Here is a 25892-nt window from a genome sequence, read left to right as displayed (position 1 = left end):
CTAGAATTCTGAACATTTCAGTCTTCCCTATTAAAAACAGAACTTATAAATTATCTATGAATTCAAATACATGAAAGAAAGCCCCAGAGAATGTAGGAGAATACAGTAGTCTTTTAGCTTTGCAAGAAAGAGAACATAATAATCTACCTTGATCTCAAGTCCATAAAGATTTGCCCACTACCTACAATATTCCCTGTGGAGCCTAGTGCTCTGGGTGAAGAAGACTGAAAACAGTGTTGCCTTCTGAGGCTATGATGATCTATCAGGAAAACAGACAGGCTAAGGTGCCCGGACCCAGCATACCTTGTTTAAGAGCACCTTCTCCTGCTCGGATGAAAGAGATTTCATTAGAATCAACCATGTGGTGTGCTCCATCTTGCAGGACAAACCGGAGCCCAGAGAGCTTGTGACCAGAAAGAGGGCCCTTCTCGCAGGCATCTAAAAACCCCTGTTAATGAATGAACACAACTTCTGGAGTGAGTGGATTTTACTTGCAGATACATTATCAAGAACCCCAAAATATTTGTGTTCAGAAGTGTACGTTTTTATGTGTGCTGTATTTCACCCCTCAAAAATAATTTTTTAAAAATGTTTAACAACTTTACTATTTTTTTTTTAACTTTTAAGTTCAGGGGTACATGTATAGTTTTGTTACATAGGTAAACTTATGTCATGGGGGTTTGTTGTATAAATTATTTCATCTCTCAGGTATTAAGCCTGGTACCCATTAGTTATTTTTTTCTGATCCTCTCCTTCTCATCCTTCACCCTCTAATAGGCTCCAGTGTGTGTTGTTCCCCTCTATGTGTCCATATGTTCTCACAATTTAGCTCTCATTTATAAGCGAGAACATGTGGTATTTGGTTTTTTATTCCTGTGTTAGTTTGCTAAAGATAATGGCCTCTAGCTCCATCCATGCCCCTCCCTGCAAAGGACATGATATTGTTCTTTTTTATGGCTGCATAGTATTGGTGTGTTTGTACCACATTTTCTTTATCCAGTCTATCATTGATGAGCATTTAGGTTGATTACATATCTTTGCTATTGTAAATAGTACAACTTTACTATTTAAGTTTTATTATCGTGGCATTTAGATGAACAATTCCTTGGAAAAGCATATTAGTTAAGGGCGTAAGCTGGTTTGAAAGCAATGCTTAGAATGCTAACAATCACTTTCTCATAACCTCATCTTCAGGAATTACTCAACTCAACTCAATTACTCATAACCCATCATAGAGACAGCATGATCTTAATTTTACAATGAGGAAGCAGCGGAAAGGCAAAACTAAGAAACTCCTTAAAAGAAAACCCCCACCAAAATTGGTGTTTATTCACTAGCTGTGTCTTGAGCCCCTACTGCATACCTCTAACTGCTTTGCCTCATTGGCAGATCACTACATTATAGCTCTAGTGTTACAAAACGTCAGTAAGAACTAGAATTAAAGAGTAATTCACCATTTTTTCAAATCTAATTATTTTAAAAGAATAGCTTTGTTGAAGTATAATTGATATACAATAAACTGCACATATTTAAAGAGTACCATTTGATGAGCTTGCAATTTTTATTAATTCAGTCACTTAACAAATACTTGTGGAGCTCCTACCACTTAAGTTAGTTTTTCCTGGCAACACAATAACATGGCTGCGCAGATAGCACAAAATATTTCTTGACATTTCAAAACTGTAAGTTATATATGCTGTAAAATGTCTAAGTTCTCCTTCATCTACATTAATCTTAGTGGATATAAGAATTTAAAGTGTGTGAATCACAAAATATTGTCTTGAAATAGAATACATTAATGACAAAAAAATGCTCCACCACTGAAACCAAAATTATAACCTGTTAATAAGATCTTCTAAGTTAAAAGGTTAAAAACAAAAACCACAGTCTATATGAATTAATTAAGGGTTTACAACAGTTTTTTTTTTTTTTTTTCCATTTTGGAGACAGGGTCTTACTGTCGCCCAGGCTGGAGGGCAGTGGTGCACAGCTCACCACAGTCTCCATCTTCTGGGCTCAAGCAATCCTCCCATCTCAGCCTCCAGAGCAGCTGGGACTACAGGTGTGTGCCACTACACCGGGCTAATTTTTTTTCTATTTTTATTTTTCTGTAGAGACAGGGTTTCAGCATGTTGCCCACGCTGGTCTCAAACTCCTGGGCTCAAGTGATCTGCCCGCCTCGGCCTCCCAAAATGTTAGGATTACAGGCATGAACCATCATGCCCGGCCTATGACAGTCATAAAGCAAATGACTGGAAAGCAAACAAAACACTAACCCCTCATATGTGCAAAGCACTTCTCCAAGGAAATGTCACATAGTCTTATCTGATCCTCAATTTTGTGAGGGGTGCAGGTTTAAGTATTTTCTCTCAGTTTACAAATGAAGAAACAGTTCTGAATACTGATTTAACAAAGCATATTAATCAGTAGTAGACATGAGACAGTAGCACCCAGGTGTTGGGAATCTAAAGAATGATCATTCTGCTGCAATAGTACACATAAAACTCTTATAAATCCCTAAGAACTACTACAAATTGATTACAATCAATACAGTAGTTTCAATTTATTAAGAAAAATATAACTATGATTCAGAAACATAATAATTTCCCATCATTGTCACAGCATGGATTTACAGCTCTTCTGCTTAATGAATTAGAGATTCTAAATCAGATGGAAAGCTTAACAATCAGAGAAACAGGACTGTAACTAAAACAAACTGTGATAGACAACATGATGGAAGACAAAGTATGATTTAATACCTGATAAACTGTTTTTAGTAAGTAAAAATGCAAAAACACTTTTTTAAAAATTTACCTTTTCTACAGCAGGCACAAACTGCTTTGGAATATTTGATCCGAATGTTTCATCTGAAAATTCCAATTTAGTGTAGTCCTCTGGGTCCAGAGGCTCCAGGACACCTATTACTTTTCCATACTGGCCTGCACCACCTGATTGTTTTTTATGTGTAAAGTCAAACCTGAAAGTGATTTAGGAAAAAAAAAATGGAGCATTATGTAATTACAAAATAAAATAACTCCTATTAATTTAAAAGAACACATTTGATTATTTTTACTTTTTCATTTGAATATGATGGTCTTGCTATAAAAGTTTATTGTAGAATTTATTTTAAAAAGAACCCTCTGTTTTCTGTTCTTACTTGAAGTGAGGGTGGGGTATACTACCCAAGGTAATATACAGATAAATTTCACAAATAAAAAAGTAAAAGTCGAGTAATTAAAAGAAAAAGGTCAGTCTAAGGTTCTTGTTCTAATAACCTGTATTCCAAAAACCTTGCCCATTTCCCTGGAACACAGTGTTCTTTCCTTACATCTCTGTAACCAAAGACAACTACTTGAAAATAGGACCTTTGATGGCTACAGTTAATTTATTCAGATAGTTCCTATTTGATTTTATTCCTTGGGCATTATAGACTCAGGCAATACAAGAAAAGGGATTTCCAAGTGAAATAATTAATATCTGAAAATGATCGGTGGCAAAACGATAGAGACTAACATAAGTAAGTCATTCAAAAGACACAGAAAGATGTATAAACACAGTTCACTGTTTACTTCAAACCACTAATGGCAACATTAATATGATAGAATAAGCACTTTACATATATACTAAAGATATGTAAACACAGGCTACTGTTTCACTGGAAAATCATTTCATGAGTATCTACTGTTTGCAAGGCATTTCTTCCTTTAAATTGAAATCTTCCTCAAGACCACAAGATGGAAGAGGCCAGCTGCTTTCAAAATTATTAGCACATAAGAAAATAGACATTAATGACTGCACATTCCTGCATACAAATCTGAGAGTGGTTTGGAAGAAGCAAATATCAATATTTGCCTGTTCTAAGCTGGTAGGAGATGCTAGCTTACAACAGGCAAATTTCCAAAACTGTGGAACGCTGACATATTCTCAAGTATACACAACGTTCTCTATGAGACATTTTAAATCATGTTTTCCATTTGTCAACAGTATAACATCTATACAAACATACTCTAGATCTGTGATGTCTATATGGTAATAACTAACCATGGCTGTTTACATTTAAATTAAAAGATTTCCATCACTGCACCAAGTTCTATTGGGCAGCACTGCTCTAAAGGACCAAATCGCAAACAAGTAATTCCACACAGTTTCAGGAACCATATCTGAATTTATAATCGAGAGCGTGCCAAACAACAGAATACTTATGTGCCAGGCTTATGTTAAGCACCTTATATGGATTGTCTTACTTGTTCTTTACCACAAACCCATGAAATAGGTATTACTTTTATCACCATTTTACACATGAGAAACCTGAGGGACAGAGAGACTAAGTAACTTGCCCAATGTGACAGAGCATTAAGTGGTAGGGTCAGGATTTGCTCTAAAACCAAGCATCTTAAACATTCTTCTAGAAGGCTAATACAAAAAAGATATAAACTAACTTACAAATGCTGGGGTTAGTTTATTCACTTCAAAAGCTAACCGAAGGTGCTACAAGAAGACAGATTTTGCAGTGGTTTAGAAAAAGAACAGGTAGAAGAACTAAGACTGCTTGACAGGCAGCTAAATAGAAATGCTGAAGGTGAAAGAAATGTCACATTATGAAAGACAATTTCATTTTGGCAAAACATCTGTCACATTAAAATGAACGTTCATTAGAATTGTTGGGTGGGGAGAGGTTGAGGGATGAGAACTCACCTATTGGGTACAATGAATACTATTTGGCAGACGATTACACTAAAAGCCCAGACTTCACCACTACCCAATATATCCATATAACAAAACTACACCTGTACCCACTAAATCTATTTTTTTTAATTGAAAAAGAAAAATTATGTCAGGGCCACATTGTTTTCAACAACGAAAAATATATATACATATATGTAAGAATTGTGTTGGCTTTGCTGTTTACCTCAAATTTGCAGATTTGTTTTGACTTTAGAGTCATAACAAAGTTGCAAGCAATGGGCATTTCTACTAATTATGTTTTTAAGACAGCCTAAATTGGTATGTGTACTTTTAAATGCCTATTATCTCATAACCTATGTTACTAGCTTTGATATACAGAGATGGTGACTGCATTCATAAGGCTTCAAAATGGTGACTTGAGGAAGCTCACATATTGTATTTCTCACTACTGGTGGTAACACAGGAGATATTAACTAGCAATTTGTGAAACTCAAAATTTCATTATCAGCAAAAAGCTCTGAGTTATCAGAATGTACTCAGCCACTTTCCTGGACACTATCAACAGAGGACCTATTCAAAAAAACTCACATGCACAACGACAACCTAAGAGGCTGGCTCACAGATAAATGACTCATCAAAAGGAAAAAAAAATTTAGAGAAAAAAATTCCTCCAACTTCTTAGAAAAAGCCTTAAGAGGAGAACTAACCATTTCATCCTTTAGTTGCTTTATAGTTGCTGGCTAATATAACTAGAAAAGATGAGAAATGCTGTATTGCTATTAATTTTTTTAAAAGCTACTTAGTCCAAAGAAACACTGTATTTATAAATAAATTAAAACAGTTTGAGGAAGATAGTACATTACAAATACATTTTTGTTCATTTTCTTTTTCAAAGCATCAAAACATACAGGCATATCTTGGAGGCATTGTGGGTTCAGTAACAGACCACTGCAATGAAGCTAATATCGCAATAAAGCAAGTCACACAAATTGTTTTCCTAGTGCTTATAAAAGCTATATGTTTACACGATACTGTAGTCTATTAAGTATGCAATAGCATTATGTCTAAACAAAAATCCCACCATACATACCTTAATTTAAAAATACTGTATTGCTAAAACATGCTAACAATCAGCTGAAACATCAGCATCAGAACTAGAAGTGGAGACTGAAGGTCTAGGAGCCTAGAGGGTCTTAGCTTGATGCTGATAGCTACTGACTGATCAAGGTGATGGCTGCTGCAGGTTGAGGTGGCTGTGGCAATTTCTTTTAAAATGTTTTTTAGAGATGGGTCTCACTATGTTGCCCAGGGCTGGTCTCAAAATCCTGGTCTCAAGTGATCTTCCTGCCTCAGACTCCCAAGTAGCTGGAATTAAAGGTGTGAACCACTTCACCCAGTCACATGACAATTTCTTAAGACAACAATGAAGTTGGCCACATCGATTGACTTTCCCTTTCACAAGACTTCTCTGTTGTATGTGACGCTGTTTGATAGCATTATATCCATAGTAGAACTTCTTTCAAAACTGGAGTCAATCCTTTCAAACCTTGCCACTGCTTTATCAACCAGGTTTTACCCTTTGTTGTAATAACAATGTTTGCAGCGTTTTCAACAGGAGTAGATCCCATCTCAAGAAACTACTTTCTTTGCTTATCCATAGAAGAAGGATCTCCTCATCTGTTCAAGTTTGAACATGAAATTGTAGGACTTCAGTCACATCTTCAGGTTCCACTTCTAATTCTCCTGCTATTGCCAATACATTCACTGTTACTTCACCCACTGAAGTCTTAAACTCCTCAGAGTCATCCATGAGGGTTGGAATCAACTTCTTCCAAACTCCTGGTAATGTTATTTTGACCTCCTCCCAGGAATCACAAATGTTCTTAATGGCATCTAGAATGGTGAAGCCTTTCTAGAAGGTTTTCAATTTACTTCGTCCAGATCCATCAGAGGAATCAACCTATGGCAGCGATCGCCTTACAAAATGTATTTCTTAAATAATAAGACTTGAAAGTCAAAATTACTCTTTGATCCAGGGATTGCAGAATGAATGTTGTATTGGCGGGCATGGAAACAACATTAATCTCTTTGTACATCTCCATCAGAGCTCTTGTGTGACAGGTTAATTGTCAATGAGCAGTAATCTTTTGAAAGAATCATTTTTTTCTAAGCAATGGATTTTAAACATTCAGTAAGCCATGCTGTAAACAGACATGCTGTCATCCAGGCTTTGTTATTCCATTTGCAGAATACAAGCAGAGTAGATTTAGCATAATTATTATGGGCCCTAGGATTTTGACAATGAGAAAGGGGCACTGTCTTCAAACTTAGTCACCAGCTGCATTAGCCCCTAACAAGAGAGTCACAGCCTGTCTTTTGAAGATTTGAAGCCAGGCACTGACTTCTCTCCAGCTATGAAAGTCACAGATGGCATCTTCTTCCAAAAGAAGGATGTTTCATCTACACTGAAAATCTCTGTTGTTTGGCCAGGCATGGTGGCTCATGCCTGTAATCCCAGCACTTTGGGAGGCCGAGGCAGGTGGATCACGAGGTCAGGAGTTTGAGACCAGCTTGACCGACATGTGAAACTCTGTTTCTACTAAAAATACAAAACTTAGTCGGGCATGGTGGCAGATGCCTGTAATCCCAGCTACCTGGGAGGCTGAGGCAGGAAAACTGCTTGAACCCAGGAAGCAGAGGCTCACTGTAGTGAGCCGAGATCGTGCCACTGCACTCCAGCCTGGACGACAGAGTGAAACTCCATTTCAAAAAAAAAGAAAAAAGAAAATCTGTTGTTCTGTGTAGCCAACATCATCAACGATCTTAGGAGACCACTGATCATTGCTGCAGCTTCCACATCAGCACTTGCTGCTTCACCTTTCACTTTTACGTTAGAAATGGCTTCTTTCCTTAAACCTCATGAACCAACATCTGCTAGCTTCAAACTTTTCTTCTGCAACTTTCTCACCTCTCTCAGCCTTCATAAAATTGAACAGAGTTAGAGCCTTCCTCTGGATTAAGCTTTGACAGAGAGAGAGAGAATGTGCAAGCACAACTGGTAGGTAGAGCAGTCAAAACATATACAATTATATGGATGAAGTTTGCTATCTTATATGGGCAGGTTTCATGGTACCTCAAAATAAATTACAATAACATCAGAAATCACCAATCACAGATCACCATAACAGATATAATAATAATGAAAAAGTTTGAAATATTACAAGAATTACCAAAATGTGACACAGAGATGTGAAGTTAGAATATGCTATTAGAAAAATGGAGGTGAGGCCGGGCGTGGCGGCTCATGCCTGTAATCCCAGCACTTTGGGAAGCCGAGGCGGGTGGATCACTTGAGGTCAGGAGTTCGAGACCAGCCTGGCCAATACGGTGAAACCCTGTCTCTACTAAAAATACAAAAATTAGCCGGGCATGGTGGCGGGCACCTGTAATCCTAGCTACTCGGGAAGCTGAGGCAGGAGAATTGCTTGAACCTGGGAGGCGGAGGTTGCAGTTAGCTGAGATTGCACCACTGCACTCCAGCCTGGGTGATAAGAGTGAGACTCTGTCTCAAAAAAAAAAAAAAAGAAAAAGAAAAATGGAGCTGATAGACTTGTTCCACATGGGGTTATCACAAACCCTCAATTTGTAAAAAACATACTATCTGTGAAACACAATAAAGTTGAATAAAATGAGGTATGTCTGTTTAAAAATGGAAAATATAATTAAGGTTTTTAATTTTAAATTTCATATTTAATGTAATATTCTGACAACTCACTTTATCAGTATATTAAATAAAACAGTATATATATCACATTGAAATTACCATTCTAACAAACTAATAAAATTCATATCTTGTGTGTACATATATATTTATTTTCATGTTTTTCTGTAGTTATTATACCAAGTATATTCTTATTCTTATTAATCACCACTTTTAACCAAAGTAATCAACTTTTGCTTTCCCAAAGAGAAAACCAGAAGACAGAAAACCAAGAAATGTCAAGCTAAAATTTTTTTTTGAGACAGGGTCTGGTTCTTTCATCCAAGCTAGAGTGCACTGGTGCAATCTCGGCTCATCGCAACCTCCTCCCTGTGCTCAAGTGAGCCACCCACCTCAGCCTCCCGAGTAGCTGGAACTACAGGCACATGCTATCACATCTGGCTAATTTGTGTAGTTTACAGACAGGGCTTCGCCATGTTGCTCAGACTAGTCTCAACCTCCTGGGCCCAAGCGATCTTCCCACCTCAGCCTCACAAAGTGCTAGGATTACAGGTGTGAGCCACTGCACCTGGTTAGCTAAATTTTTATAAATACAAATTTTAGATTACTTCTATAATTTTAAGGTGGCAAAACAACACATATATAACAACCAAAGTATCTGCACATTGTGTTAATTCATAATCATTTTATAATGTATAAGAATAAAGGTAAACTGAAACTCTCTTTAGTAACCAAAGCTCTGTATCATGTATTAGTCAGAAATTGTCCAATTATCCCAGGACTAATTGAACATTATGTAAGGGCCTGAAAGTTAACTGGAGATCTGAAAAATTATAATTTTAGTTAACACATTTGGTCTTTATAATAGAAGCATAATTTTATAAGATTAAAACTCCTTTAAAAGACATCTGTATTAAAATTTTATTTAAACACCATTTTATATTTTGTAATCTTATACAACTGATTGAATCAGTAACTTGTTTGGCCCATTTGATCAATATATAAAATTTAGAAAGTTTAGATCATGAAAAGATCAAATTCAGTTTTATATGAACTTGGAATATTTTATCATTATGTAATAAAACCTGGAAGACATATAATCAACTTTAAATAAATATTATTTTGTTACAGCTCACCCAAATTCATCTATTAATCAGAAATATTTTATACATTTTTAAAAATATAATTTATAAACTTTATATTCAAAAATCATTAAATCATGTTTAAGAGCTCCTCTTTTATCTTGAAAACTTGTTTTTTTTTTTTTTTTTTTTTTTTTGAGATGGAGTCTCACTCTGTCACCCAGGCTGGAGTGCAGTGGCATGATCTCCACTCACTGCAACCTCCGCCTCCTGGGTTCAAGCAGTTCCCTGCCTCAGCCTCCCGAGTAGCTGGGATTACAGGCGCCCGCCGCCACGCCCGGCTAATTTTTGTATTTTAAGTAGAGACGGGGTTTCACCATATTGGCCAGGCTGGTCTTGAACTCTTGACCTCGTGACCCACCTGCGTTGGCCTCCCAAAGTGCTGGGATTACAGGCGTGAGCCACTGCTCCCGGCCGTAAACTTGCTCCTTATAAACATAATAATAAAGGCTATTTAAGTTCATTTGACCACATTAATTTTTACACATTTTTTAAAGCACAATGATTTTTTTCTTAGACATTTTTGGCTGTTTATTTGGACTAGATATTCCTGGACTGCACATATAATGACAGAATGACTTAGTCTCATGAATCATCTTTCAAATTTTTAATGAAAGAAAATGAGAAACAGGAAAAGGTGAGCTACAGCCAGTTTTAGACAAATATGAAATTATCACTGTAAAACGCTAATTATCTTTTCTTTTCAAGGAGAGAGGAAAAAGCTTAAATATAAGCCATGTTATTAATAAAAAACCTTGAAGTATGGAAATAAAATATGGGCAGTCTTCTACTTAAAATGCTCTTAGACAAATAAGACAAATACTGTTCTCCGAAAGTCTTATTTTTTTATTTCTGGTGTTCTTCTAAAGTGTCTCTCAAATGAACAGTCTTCTTCATGTCAAAGTTCCCCAAATTTCACCAATTCTTTGGTAAATTTATCCCAGGAGACAGTGTAAGTTCGTATCTGACAACCCCATCGAAAATTGGCTGATATTCTGTATTTGCAAAAATATTGCCATGGGTGGGTCAGGGTTTAACAAATGCTGAACTAAGAAACGTGGAGAGGCCAGGCACGGTGGCTCATGCCTGTAATCCTAACACTTTGGGAGGCAGAGGAGGGAGGATTGCCTGAACTCAACATGGTGAAACCCCATCTCTACTAAAATACAAAAAAATTAGCCAGGTGTGGTGAAGTGCACCTGTAGTCCCAGATACTAGGGAGGCTGAGGCAGGAGAAATGCTTGAACCTGGGAGGTGGAGGTTGCAGTGAGCCGAGATCACGCCACTGCACTGCAGCCTAGGCAACAGAGCGAAACTCTGTCTCCAAAAAAAAAAAAAAAAAGGTCATGTGTGAAAGACAGTGTCTCGCAAAGCAAATTTCTCATACACGGACAAGACTGAGAAAAGTTTCATTGACATTTGATACAAGATGATGGGCAAGCAGACAGATGGTATTTAAAGGCAAAGTCAATCAGAACCCCCAAATCCCAGGAGACAATAATAAGCATGAAACTGAGGCCAAAGTCCAGAATCCAGATTTACTGCAGAATCTACATAATCAGAAAGAGATACACCTCAAGAGTCTTGGGTGTGTGCATTACTACCAAGTTAAAGGTCCTGGCCAGGCATGGTGGCTTATGCCTGTAATCCCAGCACTTTGGGAGGCTAAGGTGGGTGGATCACCTGAGGTCAGGAGTTTGAGACCAGCCTAGCCTAAACCCGTCTCTACTAAAAATACAAAAAACTAGCCGGGCATTGTGGTGGGCACCTGTAATCCCAGCTACTCTGGAGGCTGAGGCAGGAGAACTGCTTGAACCCAGGAGGCGGACGTTGCAGTGAGCCGAGATAGCACCATTGCACTCCAGCCTAGGCAACAAGAGTGAAATTCCATCTCAAAAAAAAAAAAAAAAAAAAGAAAAGAAAAGAAAAAAAGGTCTCAATCCAGGCAGCGAAGACCTTGGCCAAACTTTGGTAGAATCTCCAAGTTATCCTAGCCCAATTAACCTAAGACCACCAAGGATAAACCTGTACTTCTACAAAGTCAGGTTTATAGGCCCATTGCAATGAGGTAGACCACATACCAGAGAGAGTGCTTTGTATAAGTTCAGTTTTTAAGTTTATTTTAATCCTTGAAGTAAAATATTCAAAATGACTCAAGTTGGAAGCATGGCGTTACATCAAAACTTATCATTTTAAGATTAGTAAAGGAGAGGGGTACAGGTGCATTTTTTTATTTCTCCTGATCCAAATTACATAATCTCCCAATTTAATACTATAGTTTGCAGATTCTCATACTTTGATTTGGGCAGAACTGGTCCAAACCCACAAAAAGCTGAGGATGAGCAAGCCTCTTCCTGGACTCTCATAAGGGGAAGGGAAATGAAGGAATCGAATCACTACCTGGAGTACTGTGTACCTTGCCCTGCCAGGGACGCTGCATGCGGTGTATAAGGAAGTTGTGCTCCAGTATGCAAGCGAAGCAACCAGACTTTTTTCCCATGGACAGGAAACTAGAGTCTTCAGAGATGTCCTATATCAGCGAAAGCCCCACCCTGCACTTCTATAAAGGTTAATGAAACGAAAGATGCAATCCCAGCGAACCTAGCCCACTGACTCCCTCCCCACACCTCCACCTGCTGGTGCCTGACAAGCATGCTGGCCTCTCCTCCAGTAGGAACCAGCAGGCGGAGTAAGGAAGCCCGCTGCAGGCAGTAGTGGGGCGGGGCCTCAGAAGCAGTCAGCCCAGGGCTCTCGGATGCAGGGAGCCTGGGCCCAAACAGCAGCTTCCGGAGTCGGAAGGAGCTGAGGAAGAAGACTGACTGAAGGAGCTTGCGACTTTTCCGCCTCGGCAACCGGACCCAGCAGCAAGCAGGACGGGCGGCGCTCTGCTACTGGTCCCGTTAAGCCAGAGTAGCCCAAGCCCTGAAGTCACTGCTCATCCGGAATGGAAATCCCGCCGACCAACTACCCAGCCTCCAGGGCGGCCTTGGTGGCACAGAACTACATCAACTACCAGCAGGGGACCCCGCACAGGGTGTTTGAGGTGCAGAAGGTCAAACAAGCCAGCATGGAGGTGAGTTTAGCAGGGGGTGGTGGACAGCAGAGGCTTCAGGATTGCGCTCCCTCCACTCACCCGCGGTCTCAGCCTTTGGGTGCAGACACTCCGTGCCACCCCCTACCCACCTTCTGTTTTAGGACACACTGCTGGTATCTGGTCTTGAGATATTAAGGTTTCTGGGGGAATGTCTATACTCCAGTCTCTGGAGACAGCCCGGGACTGTTTTCACCTTAAGGCAGAGACAAAGTTTTTACGCACACAGTTACAAGAAAACGGGAACACGCTCTAGGTAAGGGGCAGCACTTTCCTTAAGTGTAAACTGTAGAAACCATTCAAAAGACTACTAAGGCTGCCACGTTTCTCATCTGCTACTCTGATCTGGACCAACAAAAGCTCCCATCTTCCAAGACTCTATTGCCTACATTTTAAGACAAATCCTTATCAGACCCTTTGACCAAAATGAAGGGGGAAACAAACAGCAAGAGAAACTGACAATCAAAGTCAAAGAATAAAAGCACTGTGGGCTGACGCTGGCCTTTAGCCACCCAAACACCGCTACCACATGACTGCCTTAAATGATGTGCACCCTCTGCTAAAGGCTTGAATTAAATGTTTAAGGCCTCAGCAATCACTAACGAGGTTTGTTTTCATTTTACGAAAATCTACTGGATTTGAGATTATCCCTTATTTATCTGACAGAATTTTAACTGCTAACAGTCTTTTAGAGGTGACACAGTAGATCTTATTTTGAAACTGTACCAGATAACAGAATTAGGTATAAATTTTCAATCTGTATCTTGATTTAAAAGTGAAATACCATTTCTTAGTCTTATATAATTTGTTAATCATTTTGCAGTTTCACTAATGTATAAGTAAAAACAATACTTAATTGTATTAAGTCTCCAATTGCTTTGCAGTAATCTGCCTCAAAATGAAATTCACATTCATTGAACATTATTTGGAGGGTACACTGAGCTTTATGAAAAAATCTTTTCAAAGGTGATATTGTCATCTTTAGAATTAAACGCTGTTTCAAACTTTCTTATGTAGAGACTTTAAGATCACAGATCCAGGGGTTAAATAAAGTCTTTTGATGATTGAAAGTGAATTGTGCCCAATTTGTATGCTTTTATCCTACTCTTTTGTTTTCATCCAAAATAAACTTGATAGGGGACTTGCTAAATTAGATGTTACATTCATGGTGACATGCCTTTTTCAAGACCTAAGGCTTTCACCATTCCCCTTCAGCCAGCCCCTCCAACCAAATGAGATGCATACTTCTAACAATGCAAGTATAATGTTGTTATAATATTTTCTTGTCTCCACTACATTTTCTTAATTTTAGGATATTCCAGGAAGAGGACATAAGTATCACCTTAAATTTGCTGTTGAAGAAATTATACAAAAAGTAAGTTAAATTTCTTTTTTCTTTGAGACAGGGTCTCACTCTATCACCCAGGCTGAAGTGCAGTGGCAGAACATGGCTCACTGCAGCCTCAACTTCCCGGGCTCAGGCCATCTTCCCACCTCAGCCTCCCCAAATAGCTGGGACCACAGGTGCATGCCACTACACCTGGCTAATTTTTGTGATCCTCCTGCCTCTGCCTCCCAAAGTGCTAGGATTACAAGCATGAGCTACCAAGCCCAGCCAAAATGTTCTTATTAAACAAATTTAATTCTAAATATTCCAGATCATCTTTGCTGATCAAATCTGTAAGATTGATTAGTTTTACCTCTTTTTAAAAAGTTGTTGTGAAATACCTGCCTCTGAAAAACACTGACCATATGGGCAAAGTTTACAAGGATCAGTTCTTTACTATCTTTGGGTATTCCTAGGTATATGAATTATTTCTACCAAACTACACAAAAAAAGACTATACACTTCAGTTCAAATGAATTTCTTAAGAAGTTACATACTCTTAGGGCAGTCTGAACTTATGCCTAATATAAATGAGTGAAGTAATTTATTCCCCAATCAATCATCTTCTTAACGTCTGCTTTTCTCATTCTATTTTTCACTGGGTTTTTAGAGAAAGAACGTGCTCTTAGATATTCAGAAGCAATAGAATGCCAGCTGATACCACCATTCAGATGAAGATCTTTCAGTAATGGGGAAGGGAAATTTTAAAGATTATACACAACTGTCAAATTATTAATGAGACAAACTTAAAAGAAAGGAACTGCAATCTGTACCACAGCCATCTTGAAATTTTAAAAAGCTTGCCTTTCTGTTGAGCATAATTCATAAAGAGATTCATTAAAAGGCATCTGAGCTGCTAGACAGCCATCTTTACAAAGCATAACCCAATGCCATAATCTTCTAATTTTATATCCAGACACAGACTGCTGCATCTGCATTTCAAAAACTTTGTTATTTCAGGAGCAAAGAGTAAGAGTAATGGAAAAACTTTAAAAGTAACCAGTCTTGAGTTGGTATATAAAGTCAGATTAAAATCTGGCCTTGCAAATGGACACCCCATTAATACTGAAATATACTGAAAGTTTTAAGACTAGAATTCATAAGATTATGACACCATATCATTTATAAAGTAAGTTATCTATTTTAGGGTATTCACATGATAAGTCTAGAATTTAATAGGCCAGGCCCAATTAGATACCTCTGAAAACAAGCACTTTGAAGTCTAGTCTAAAACAACACCATTAGGAGCCTATGCTTTAAATCATATCTCAAAGATGATAATTAATAATGAATAGCCTTCTGTATATAAGGATATTTTGCTAAATTTCAAACAGCAAGTTAAGGTGAACTGCACAGCTGAAGTACTTTACCCTTCAACGGGACAAGAAACTGCACCAGAAGTCAACTTCACATTTGAAGGAGAAACTGGAAAGAATCCAGATGAAGAAGACAACACATTTTATCAAAGACTTAAGTCCATGAAGGAACCGCTAGAAGCACAAAATATTCCAGGTATATAAATATGGCATGAAAACCATTTGTTTGATTCAAACTTAAAATCAATCTCAATTATCTGTGCTTAAAATTGTTAGTTGCTAAGTATGTTAGAAACTTACAGGCTTTTGCAAAAATACTCATTTCTAATCCAATCCAACAAAAAAGAGGCCTCAGAAATTTTATAGATCCATAGCTTAATTAAATTATTTTTTGCACAACATTCGAAGGAAACTAAGACATGATTTAGAATTTAGATTTTGTTTTAAAAGGTTAATACTATATATATGATTATCATATAAATGTGTCTCCTACCAGACAATTTTGGAAATGTATCTCCAGAAATGACGCTCGTTCTACATTTAGCCTGGGTTGCCTGTGGTTATATAATATGGCAAAATTCTACTGAAGACACATGGTATAAAATGGTAAAAATTCAAACTGTCAAGCAAGTGGTAAGTAGTTTCTATAAAATACACTATTAATGGGGTTAATATTTATCGAAAGTATTGTAATTCATAATTGGATTAACAGTATTCCTATAGTCATTTTGTATTTAATAGCAAACCTGGGATTTCAAAGGGGAGGTCAGGTACAATCAAGATTAGAGAAGGTGAAGAATTGTAGGAAGAGTCCAAAGCAACAGTAACTGGTCTAAAAAGTTGTTTGATTTGGCTGAGAGATGCAAACCACAGGCCTCCTTTGCCTCAAACTTGCCTAATAACTGTGCTTTGTTAGTTGCATGCTCTGGGAACATAGAGACTAGGAAGCATAACAAAAGCAAGGCAAAGCCAAGGATTTCAGTGAAACACTTCCTGTTAATACACAGTATCTAGACTGCACTTTCAAAAAGCATCACGGTAATCATAGCTCTTAATCTTTCGGGTTAGTCAAGTCAGATTTAACTATGATACTTTCCTCAAACCCTCTTCTAGAACAAAAAGGTTGAGAGAGTTTTATTAGTAGCAGCAAGACAGAATCCCAGGTGTACAATATACAGTCAGGCCTCTCCATGGGTTCTGCATCTATGGATACAAACAACCGAGAATCAAAAATATTTGGGGGAAAAAAATGGATGGTAGCATCTGTACTGAACATGCACAGATTTTTTTCTCGTCATGATTCCCTAAGTAATATAACAACTATTTATATAACATTTAGATTGTATTTGGTATTATAAGTAATCTAGAGATGATTTAAAGTATATGAGAAGGTATGCATAGGTTATACGCAAATACTACACTGTTTTATGTCAGAGACTTGGGCATCCGTGCATTTTGGTATCTGAGGGGAATCTTGGAACCAATCCTCCATGGATACTAAGGGACAATTGTAATGACTCTCCTCACCTTTAATCTGCTCTATAGAGATCCTCAGGGCCACTTTTTATGGCAGTCACAAGCAAAGCTGTGCTTTCAGAAGAGTGAAGTCTTGAGTTATAATCCAACATTTAGCTTTTGTGCTCAGCTTAATACAGATTATTTCCCTTAGCAATCTAAGTTTTGTGTTCAAATTACTATAGTCATGCCATACTGAAACTATCTGTTTTTTCCCTCTACTGTACAGTACAGAAAAAAGCTTTAATTACACAATCACACAACTACACTCACTACATTTTACTATTCTCAGGTGTTCTGGTTTTTTTGTTTGTTTGCCTGTTTTTGAGACAGGGTTTCACTCTGTTGCCCAGGCTGGAGTGCATTAGTGTGATCATGGCTCGCTGCAGCCTCAATCTCCCAGGCTCAGGCGGTCCTCCCACCTCAGCCTCCCAGGTGGCTGGGAGTACAGGCACACACAGGCATGCCTGGCTAATTTTTTGTTTATTCTCATAGAGACATGGTTTCACTGTGTTGCCCAGACTGGTCTTGAACTCCTAGGCTCAGGCAAGTTGCCTACCTCAGCCCCGCAAAGTGCTCGGATTATAGGTGTGAGCCACTGTGCTCGGCCTTATTTTCAGTTTTCAAAAAGAGAATTTCTGTTATAAAATTGGATTCTTTCAATGTAAACACCCATTGCTATAGCTTATCCCATAAATTATGCTTTTCTGTACAATGGAAACACAGAGCATTCTTAAATAACAAGCTACACTTGCTAATTCTCTTAAGTAGCCACCACAACTTGGAAACTAAAAACAGGTAAACATTTCTTGGGGAACAAATATAAGATCATGATTTTAAAATGCATCTTGAAAGAACACTTTATTTAGTGTAAGAGAATAGATTTTGTCACATTAAATTGAAATTATGACATTCAATTTTTATTTTTACCTAAATGGAAATATTATATTCATCTAATCAAAGATGATTTTCAAAATTAAATGTAATTTTTGCCAAAGATATTAAGTTTTAAACAACACGTTTTTATTTTTTGTCATAGCAAAGAAATGATGACTTTATTGAATTAGACTACACCATTCTACTTCATAATATAGCATCTCAGGTAAAGTATAATTTACCTTTATTTGATGCCATTCTGAAAACTGAGACTCCTTGTATAGCCACAGTATGCTTTATTAATTTTGACTCTAAATCAGAATTCATGTAAATCCAGATAGGCACCAGATTTAAGTATATTATAATTGCAGCAATTTAACAAAAGTACTATTCTTTGTGAAGACTGTTTTATCTCTAACAAAACATAAACCCAACTACGTTTTCCTAAATGTTTTCTGAATTTTATCATGGCATTAATTTTCTTCACTTGCAGGAGATTATTCCCTGGCAAATGCAAGTTCTCTGGCATCCACAATACGGCACTAAAGTAAAACATAATAGCCGTCTGCCAAAGGAAGTACAACTGGAATAAACAAAAACCCTAACACTGGAAGTGTAAACATGTCTATTGATGTGTATGCCAATTTCACTGGCATCTAGCTTATGAGGCCAAATAATCCCAAAGTGTCACTTTATATAAATGTCTTGATTACAGTATAGAACTTTATAGAGTCCATAATACAAAGTATCACTACATAAAAATGTCTTTAAAACAGTAATAGTGGTATGTATATCCAAAATAAAAAGCTTCAATTTCAGCCTCATAATGTTTAATTACGTTGCATACTTACGGGACAGGGGCAGTAATGGTCTCTCGAAAGGCAACTTTTGGCTTTCCTGTGATACAAGGACAGCCATACTCTCTTTCCAGCCTCTAAAAAGAGTGGGGAAAATATTATTTAAATTTAAAAAAATAAACCGAAAGAAAACCTCCTAAGCATCTTATATATCTTAGTAGCATTCACTTAAATATAATAGATAAACAAATCTTAAATCATTTTAGTATCTTATAAGGATTAGGTATGTGATACTTAATACAAACTGCTTTTACAGATTTTATATAAATGAATTCTAAGTTACATTGATTAATTTATATTTACCTCCAATTAATCTAACCACTAAAACGTCACCATTGTTGAATATTATTACATATTCACTGGAATAATATATAAATCTGTTGTCAGGATTTTCTATCTCAACTTCAAAGATAAGATCTCACCAAAATTTCTAATCACATATCTTTGGTTTTTACTTATATATCAATACATACAAGACCTTTCCTGGGAAGGTATAGGCCCCATCTTCCCTTCCTTTTATCTATATTATAATGATCTTCAAGTAATGACTTGAGAAGAAATGGCCTGAAAAGTTGGTACAACCGCAGGTTGTCTCCCTAAGGCTTGGACCAGGATTTACTTGACCCAGTTACCCATGACCTGGGGATGGACAGATATTCTTGTTGCAAATCCCCTGAGCCTTGATTCTAGGAGTCCAGAACGTTTTACAAATAAAAAGATTTAGAGATCGAAAATAATTATTTTGTAACACATAGTAGAGGAAGCAGTAGACCACATCTGGATACAAACCAGAGTGACGCATGAAGAACCAGAGTTAGTTACAGACATTAGATTGAGAATTATTGACTTTTAATGAAACAGACAGTAATAAATTGATTTCAACTTAACTTCCTTATTATTCATTACCTGAGCATAGATTTCCAGGTGTAATTCTCCCATTCCAGATATAACTGTCTCTTTGTTCTCAGTGTCAAAGTATACTTTAAATGTGGGATCTTCTCTTGTAAACCTGCCAATACCTTTTGAAAATTTTTCCAGATCGTTCTTTAAAAGAAGAAGAAAGTCACTATATGTTTTACTGAGCATGATAAGCAATGGGATTTTAGAAAAAACTTTACTGAATGAAATAAAATACATCAGCAGTTAAGAAATAAAAATGATACATATCTAGTTCTACTCCACACCATTTTTAAAAACAATGTGAGCTTGGATACCACACAGCCAAGACAGCAGGGAATAGCTCACTGAACAGAATTTTCTTTCCACACCAAGATAGAAAACAAGAGTCCAAGACTTAACTCTATGCCCTGTCCTCTTACATTGACACACTGTCCTTTTGTGAAAATTGCCCATAAAGCAGAAATTGGAATCTGTGTTACATTTTAGAAATCCTATACATAATCAAAGGAATCAGCATGTTTACCAAGACACTACTGTAGATCCAAGCAGGATACTTAAGACCAACAAATAGGCAAATACCACGATGAGACTTGTCCCTTTCAAAACAATCTGCTTGGATGTGGTATGATGTACCCTTTTTCTCCTTAGATGCCATGTAATCCCGCGTGGTAAGCAGATTAATGGCCCTCCAAAGATACCCTAATCCTCCCAAATCTGACAATACGCTGCCTTACATAGTAAAGGGGACTTTGCAAATGTAACTAAGGTTACAGACCTGGAGATGGGGAGATTGTTATCAATTATCTAGGTGGATACAACATAATCATGTGTGCCTTTCAAACATGGAGGAGGAAGCTAGAAGGGGGGGTCAGAGGGATTCCATGAAGGAAGAAGTGGCAGGAGATATCTGAAGCAAGAAAGGGACTTAACCAGCTGTTGACGGCACTGAAGATGGAGGCAGGGGGCCACAAGCCAAGGAAGGTGGGTAGCCTCTAGAAGCTAGGAACAGCCCTCAGGTAACAGTCTTCAAAGAAATGGGGAACCCCCATCCTACAACCACAAGGAATTGAATACTGCCAATAACCTGAGTAAGAAGGAGAGAAATTCTCCCATAGAGCCTCCAGAAAGGAAAACAACATTACCAATATCTTGATTAATTTAGCCCTTTGAGAACAGCTATCAGCCTATGATCCACAGAACTATAAAAGTATATATTTGTGTTGTTTTAAGCCACTACGTTTGTGGTAACTTCTTAAGTCAGCAATAGAAAACTAACATGCCCAGTACAACCAATATTAACAGCTATCATTTACCACATACCTGGAGCTGTGGTATGTGTTTTGCCTATGTTTTCTCAAATCCCAACCACAATGCTGCAAGGCAGAATTATCCACATTTTACAGGTGAGGAAATGAGGTACAGAGAGGTTAAGTGATTTGTTCAAGGCCACACAGCTATTGCATGGCAAAGCTGGGACTGAATCCCAGTTTAGTCTTTCTAGGTCTTTTGCCTTTTTTCTGCACAAGCCAGATACTCTCAAATTAGAAACATCATGCCTGCCCCCACTATTGAGACTCATGGAGACTTCATTATTCGATTTAAATTAACTTACTCCAGCAAGCAGCCATCTTTAAACTTTTTAATGCATACACAACCCCAAAACAACAAAAAACCTTCTGGATATTGAAGCATTGATTTCCCTCCTTATTGTAAATTATCAACAGTTAAATGCCTTAAATAAACTCTGAATTTAGGAATGAAGAAGCATAATACATAAGCATAAGTTCTAACCTTGCATACTTCCAAAGAGAAAAGCAAGCAATTTTAACAATGTACTTGGAATAAACTATGGCATCCTACTGAGGTTAAGATGTAAGGTTCACCTTTCCTCAAATTCCTGAGAAAATGGAGAAATTTAATATTTCCTGCCACCTCAATTTTCTCTTTTCTATATTGAGAAAAGGTCTGGAAAATCCCAAGGTTCCTCAAAATAGATGTAGTAGTAGCAGCTGTTAGTGATATTATCACACGTGACAATTCATCAGAGTATGTTTTGTAATAAGTTCTGTATAACAAATCATAAAAAGTTCACTCAATGTATGAATAAGTGAATTTCAATATACCACATTAACATGATTGTTATGAATGCCAAGGCAACTTAAGAACTAAAAAGTTATGGTTTGAGATCAGACTAATTCCCATGGCAAAGAATGAAAATGCAAAACCTAATCATGCAATTTTGGATTTATTAAAAGCTAAATTACATCAAACCCAATTATAAAACTATAAAGTATAAAATTATCTTAAAAAATATTTCAAAGTGGAAAAAAGTCTTATTTACAGGCTTTCCATGCAATACTCAGACATTTACCTCATAACTACCAGAAAACCTAGAGCTATTTTATAACCCATGAGTCAATTAATCAGTTCAACATTCTAAAGTACTTTATAGTGGGGTTTTACTACAACTTAGGAGAAGTGCCCGATTCCCCTTTTCCAATTGTGTATGATCTGAATCCGGGAAGTTACACTTAACACTCTGAAGCCAACAATATAGTAAAGAGTTATAAAGTACAGTCAGGTGAATATTTTAATACCATCCATTTCTTCAAATATACTGAGGAGTTATCATTAGAAACAGACTGGTAAATTTAAAAAGAAGATCTCAATACCAACAGAGGAAATAGAGACCATAAGACTGCTGGTTATTACAAGATATCAAGTGCATTGTAGAGATAGATGAAAAAGAGCTCAAGTTTTAATTGTGATATACTGAGCTTTAAATCAAACTCCTACCTTGTTAGAAGGCTTCATTGCTATTGAAATGACAGGATCAGGAACATGAATTGACTCCTAAAATATTTTTTAAAAGAAAACAGAAGAATTAAAAAACAGACCCATATGGGTCAGGGATAGATTAATTTTAATGTGCCACTTTACAACAGAACAAAGGATAAATAGTAGCCTATGTCTTTAGGCTAGACAACATATATCTTGATCTGTTTTGCATTAAATAAGTACATTAATACAACATATTAATAAATAAATAAAGCTATCTACTTATATAGGTTCCTCCTTCCCAAAATAAAATTAATGAATGTATTTATTGCCCTGTTTAACATAATCACTACAATTAATCCAAATACTGAGATGTGAAATTCTTATTGCTTGGTGGCTGTTGCAATCTTCTAAGTTATTTTATTTAATCAAAATATAATACAATTACTGATAAGGCAAACAGAGAAAGGGCACCAAATTCTTCATACCCATGACACCTCATTTAATGAATTACAACTCTGAGAAGCAGGTATTATCCCCATTTTACGAATGCAGTCACTAAAGGCTTGGAAATAAGGTAAAACAAATTGGCTAAGGGCCAGTAGGTAGTATAGGGCAAAGGTGAGACTCTAACCAAGGCCTGTTTGTTTCAATGCCTTGGTAAGCACTTCCCACAACTACCAATCACTTCATGTTGCTAATGACCAGTACTTAGAGAAGGCCTTATCAATAATACTTAGAAAACATTCCTTTTATCTAGATCTCAAACAAAAATTGTATAGATTTATGTTTTTTTTGTAGTGTCTTAAATCAACAGGTAATAATATACACATTAGAGGATACTACAGATAAAAAAACTAAACTATAAAATCATGAATTCATCATTAGATAGCAGGAAGTATTACAGTGCTATTCTGTTAGAGTTGGGTCAGTACTTATGTAAATGACCCACTGCAAATTACCTGTCACCCTATGTACTCATCATACTCTTTCTTTACTGAATTCATAAAAGAGATCACTCTCATAAACAGATGGTCATAATGTAAGAGAGTTTGCTCTCCTACAGAGGCAAAAAAGGTGAGTGAGTGAAGGGAATTCAAAGGCAGGAGCTACCTGTGCATGCTCTTCCCTCAGAATCCCTCAATGATAAAAAGGGACTTCTGAGTTCCAAAGGGCAGGCTATTTATATAAGTCAGACTCTGTAGTTGCATATTGCCTATTGCCTTCTGAGCCTGGTTATGTTCTGTTATCCCAAGTCTAGTCTAAATGTTACAGTCTGGTCTCAAAAGGGATTGAGGGAACAGTATACTTTCTGGCTACTGAGTTAATAAGGAAGTAGCACTCCACTGAAACTAGCTTGATGTTAGTGGTAACAATTAGAAATGCACCCCAAGTGTGGAAGCAGGTCTCAGGGTGGAGGAATCAGAGCCACACTGTCCAGGTACCATCTGGTGGAGATATTTCCTCCTTGCTAAACTTGGGAGGATTGTGGATCCTCCAAGTTTTCCTTTTTACTATGAAAAACCAGGTAAGTTAGCTTACAGAGCACTTGTCTAATTGACATTCAAAGAGCTATAACCAACATTCAAAGAGCCACAACTAACTTGATGACTGTGGTACTCAACGAAAACTTCTGTGGTTGTTTTTCTGAAGTATTAAATGCACTACATAAAAACACAGACTTTTAAAATTCTAGTGATAAGTAGCTTTGAAATTAAATGGCTTACCATAGAAAGGCCGCTGTTGGCTTTGTCTGTGAATGTGTCTCCACTAGCACAGTCAATGCCAAACAATGCACAGATGTCTCCGGCATATACTTCCTCAACATCCTAAAAAAACAAATAACACAAAATTATATTTGCAAGTAATACAAATAAAGATGTGGTAACTAAAAAGTAAACTGTACAGTACACACATTGTATATAAAAAAGCGTGGCAGAATCTCTCTGCTTGAATTCTATAGTGAATTAGCTAGAACCAATACAATAATCAACCATGCTAAGACGTATTTTTAAAAGGCCTTCATTTAAACCATATATCAATAGACAAGATTTTACTTTAAACAGAAAACTCATTACTTGAAGGAGCTGCAGTACTAACAACACAGTGCCTCAAGGTTCTAAAGTTATTTCTATGGAATTAAAAGGCATGTACTGGCGGGGCATGGTGTCTCATGCCTGTAATCACAGCACTTTGGGAGGCCGAGGCGAGTGGATCACCTGAGGTCAGGAGTTCAAGACCAGCCTGTCCAACATGGTGAAACCCTGTCTCTACTGAAAATACAAAAAATTAGCCAGGGATGGTGGTGGGTGCCTGTAATCCCAGCTACAAGGGAGGCTGAGGCAGCAGAGTCGCTTGAACCCAGGAGGCGGAGGTTGCAGTGAGCCGAGATCGCGCCACTGCACTCCAGCCTGGGAGACAAGAGCAAAACTCCATCTCAAAAAAAAAAAAAAAGGCATGTACTATATATGTTGCCGCAGTTAGACAATGAGATTGTGTATGACAGAGATCTACTCTGTCATACATACTCTTCCTTTACAGGAAACCTGTAAAGGAAGTTTTGAAAACAAAGGTAGGAGAATGGAGCCCACTGTACTAAAAATAATTTTAATTTCTCACAGATGCAAGCAGTCAAGAAAACACAGGAAATCTAAGAACAAAGCATTGGTGCCTCCAAGCTTCCTAGTTTTTGTCGTTTTACATTGACAGTTCATTCACAACAGCTGTGGCTGTGAGTAAGCATGTCTTTCTTTAATGGTGACACAGCTGTACAAATCTTCCAGCTTCTGGTCCATGAAACAGCTATGACAATCACTTAGCCTGCCCCCTGCTGCCTATCTCACAAAACAGCAACGCTGTCGGGTTTTCAGACTGACAATTCCTCTTCTAGAAGAAACAAAAGTTATGGCTACCAAAAAATTCGTTAAGATTTTGCTTCAACTGATAAATTTCTCCAGGAATATATAGATGGATTGGGAGAGGGTGGGGGTAGGGGACAAATTCAGGCACTCAGTATTCCTTCCAAGGCCTAACCATAAGGACTACAGAAGGCTACAGCAGATTCCAAGCCAGCTCAAGAATTCAAGGCGTAAGTCAAAGTTTATCTCCCAGATCAGCCCTTGAAGCTTTTAAATCTTCAGGTGGATTCTGGCCCCAATATGGTCCTGCAGTGGGTTCTACAACAGGAATAGAAGCTCTAGGGTTAAACAGGGCTTTTGTGCCTGCCGTATTTCAGAAGGTAAATAAAACAATGTGGAAAACTGTGTAAATTTATTATTCTCTTATCTTTAAGAATCACAGTTCCACAGTCTTAAATGCCTATTACATTTTTTGTAATAATAGTTCTTGAGGAAAGTGCTGAATCTTGTATTCTGAGTGTTGGGGAACTGTCTCTTTCCTTAACCTTGGCCCTTGAGAAAATATAGCTAATTCACAACTAGCGGTATTAAAAAAAATGAGTTAACAACTGCTAATTTATCCTATAGCAAAGTGCTAGATCAGAGCTACAACACATTTAAGTAGAAAGAAACTAGAAACATATATTTAACCAGAATTAATTTTCTAGTGGGGCTCAGGATACCAAGAAGGGTCTATTTCACCCACATCAGAGGAATTTCTAATCT

At 37.3% G+C, this 25892-nt stretch overlaps 2 protein-coding genes across 15 annotated transcripts in view, besides 5 other annotated features; one reads left to right on the top strand and one right to left on the bottom strand.

The window, feature by feature from the left end:
• The window catches only part of GFM1 (G elongation factor mitochondrial 1), a 51055-nt gene that overhangs the window by 10610 nt on the left and 14553 nt on the right, over nucleotides 1-25892 (bottom strand). For 11 of the 14 annotated variants that reach the window (NR_164499.1, NR_164502.1, NM_001308164.2 and 8 more), the window contains 6 exons: nucleotides 23997-24098; nucleotides 22288-22344; nucleotides 19498-19635; nucleotides 18586-18668; nucleotides 2815-2977; nucleotides 304-448 (listed from right to left, as the gene is read on the bottom strand). Coding sequence is in view for 10 of the 14 variants with exons in the window: in NM_001308164.2 (NP_001295093.1) it covers nucleotides 304-448; nucleotides 2815-2977; nucleotides 18586-18668; nucleotides 19498-19635; nucleotides 22288-22344; nucleotides 23997-24098 (688 nt within the window). In the remaining 4 variants the exon portion in view is untranslated. Of the gene's footprint in view, nucleotides 1-303; nucleotides 449-2538; nucleotides 2978-18585; nucleotides 18669-19497; nucleotides 19636-22287; nucleotides 22345-23996; nucleotides 24099-25892 lie in introns of those variants that run through there. The other 3 variants (NR_164500.1, NR_164501.1, NM_001308166.2) reach the window with 2 other exon arrangements.
• Nucleotides 11922-12514: an enhancer, noted in NCBI's record as "H3K27ac-H3K4me1 hESC enhancer chr3:158390247-158390839 (GRCh37/hg19 assembly coordinates)". NCBI's record gives its function as "activates a minimal SCP1, AML or CMV promoter by ChIP-STARR-seq in naive H9 embryonic stem cells {active_cell/tissue: H9 hESC(naive)}" and the evidence as "EXISTENCE:reporter gene assay evidence [ECO:0000049][PMID:30033119]".
• Nucleotides 11951-12140: an enhancer, noted in NCBI's record as "active region_20750". NCBI's record gives its function as "activates an Ori minimal core promoter by ATAC-STARR-seq in GM12878 lymphoblastoid cells {active_cell/tissue: GM12878}" and the evidence as "EXISTENCE:reporter gene assay evidence [ECO:0000049][PMID:35858748]".
• On the top strand, nucleotides 12324-18558 carry LXN (latexin). Its single transcript, NM_020169.4, has 6 exons — nucleotides 12324-12622; nucleotides 13953-14015; nucleotides 15362-15539; nucleotides 15840-15976; nucleotides 17898-17960; nucleotides 18228-18558. The coding sequence occupies exons 1-6, from the start codon at nucleotides 12494-12496 to the stop codon at nucleotides 18324-18326; spliced, it is 669 nt and encodes a 222-aa protein (NP_064554.3). The 5' UTR covers nucleotides 12324-12493; the 3' UTR covers nucleotides 18327-18558.
• Nucleotides 12451-12500: an enhancer, noted in NCBI's record as "active region_20749". NCBI's record gives its function as "activates an Ori minimal core promoter by ATAC-STARR-seq in GM12878 lymphoblastoid cells {active_cell/tissue: GM12878}" and the evidence as "EXISTENCE:reporter gene assay evidence [ECO:0000049][PMID:35858748]".
• Nucleotides 12515-13107: an enhancer, noted in NCBI's record as "H3K27ac-H3K4me1 hESC enhancer chr3:158389654-158390246 (GRCh37/hg19 assembly coordinates)". NCBI's record gives its function as "activates a minimal SCP1, AML or CMV promoter by ChIP-STARR-seq in naive H9 embryonic stem cells {active_cell/tissue: H9 hESC(naive)}" and the evidence as "EXISTENCE:reporter gene assay evidence [ECO:0000049][PMID:30033119]".
• Nucleotides 12941-13000: an enhancer, noted in NCBI's record as "active region_20748". NCBI's record gives its function as "activates an Ori minimal core promoter by ATAC-STARR-seq in GM12878 lymphoblastoid cells {active_cell/tissue: GM12878}" and the evidence as "EXISTENCE:reporter gene assay evidence [ECO:0000049][PMID:35858748]".

This window comes from Homo sapiens, chromosome 3 (assembly GCF_000001405.40).
Source record: "Homo sapiens chromosome 3, GRCh38.p14 Primary Assembly".
Lineage (NCBI taxonomy): Eukaryota > Metazoa > Chordata > Mammalia > Primates > Hominidae > Homo > Homo sapiens.
Note: the sequence above shows the minus strand (reverse complement) of the source record. Positions and strands in the feature narration are given on the sequence as shown.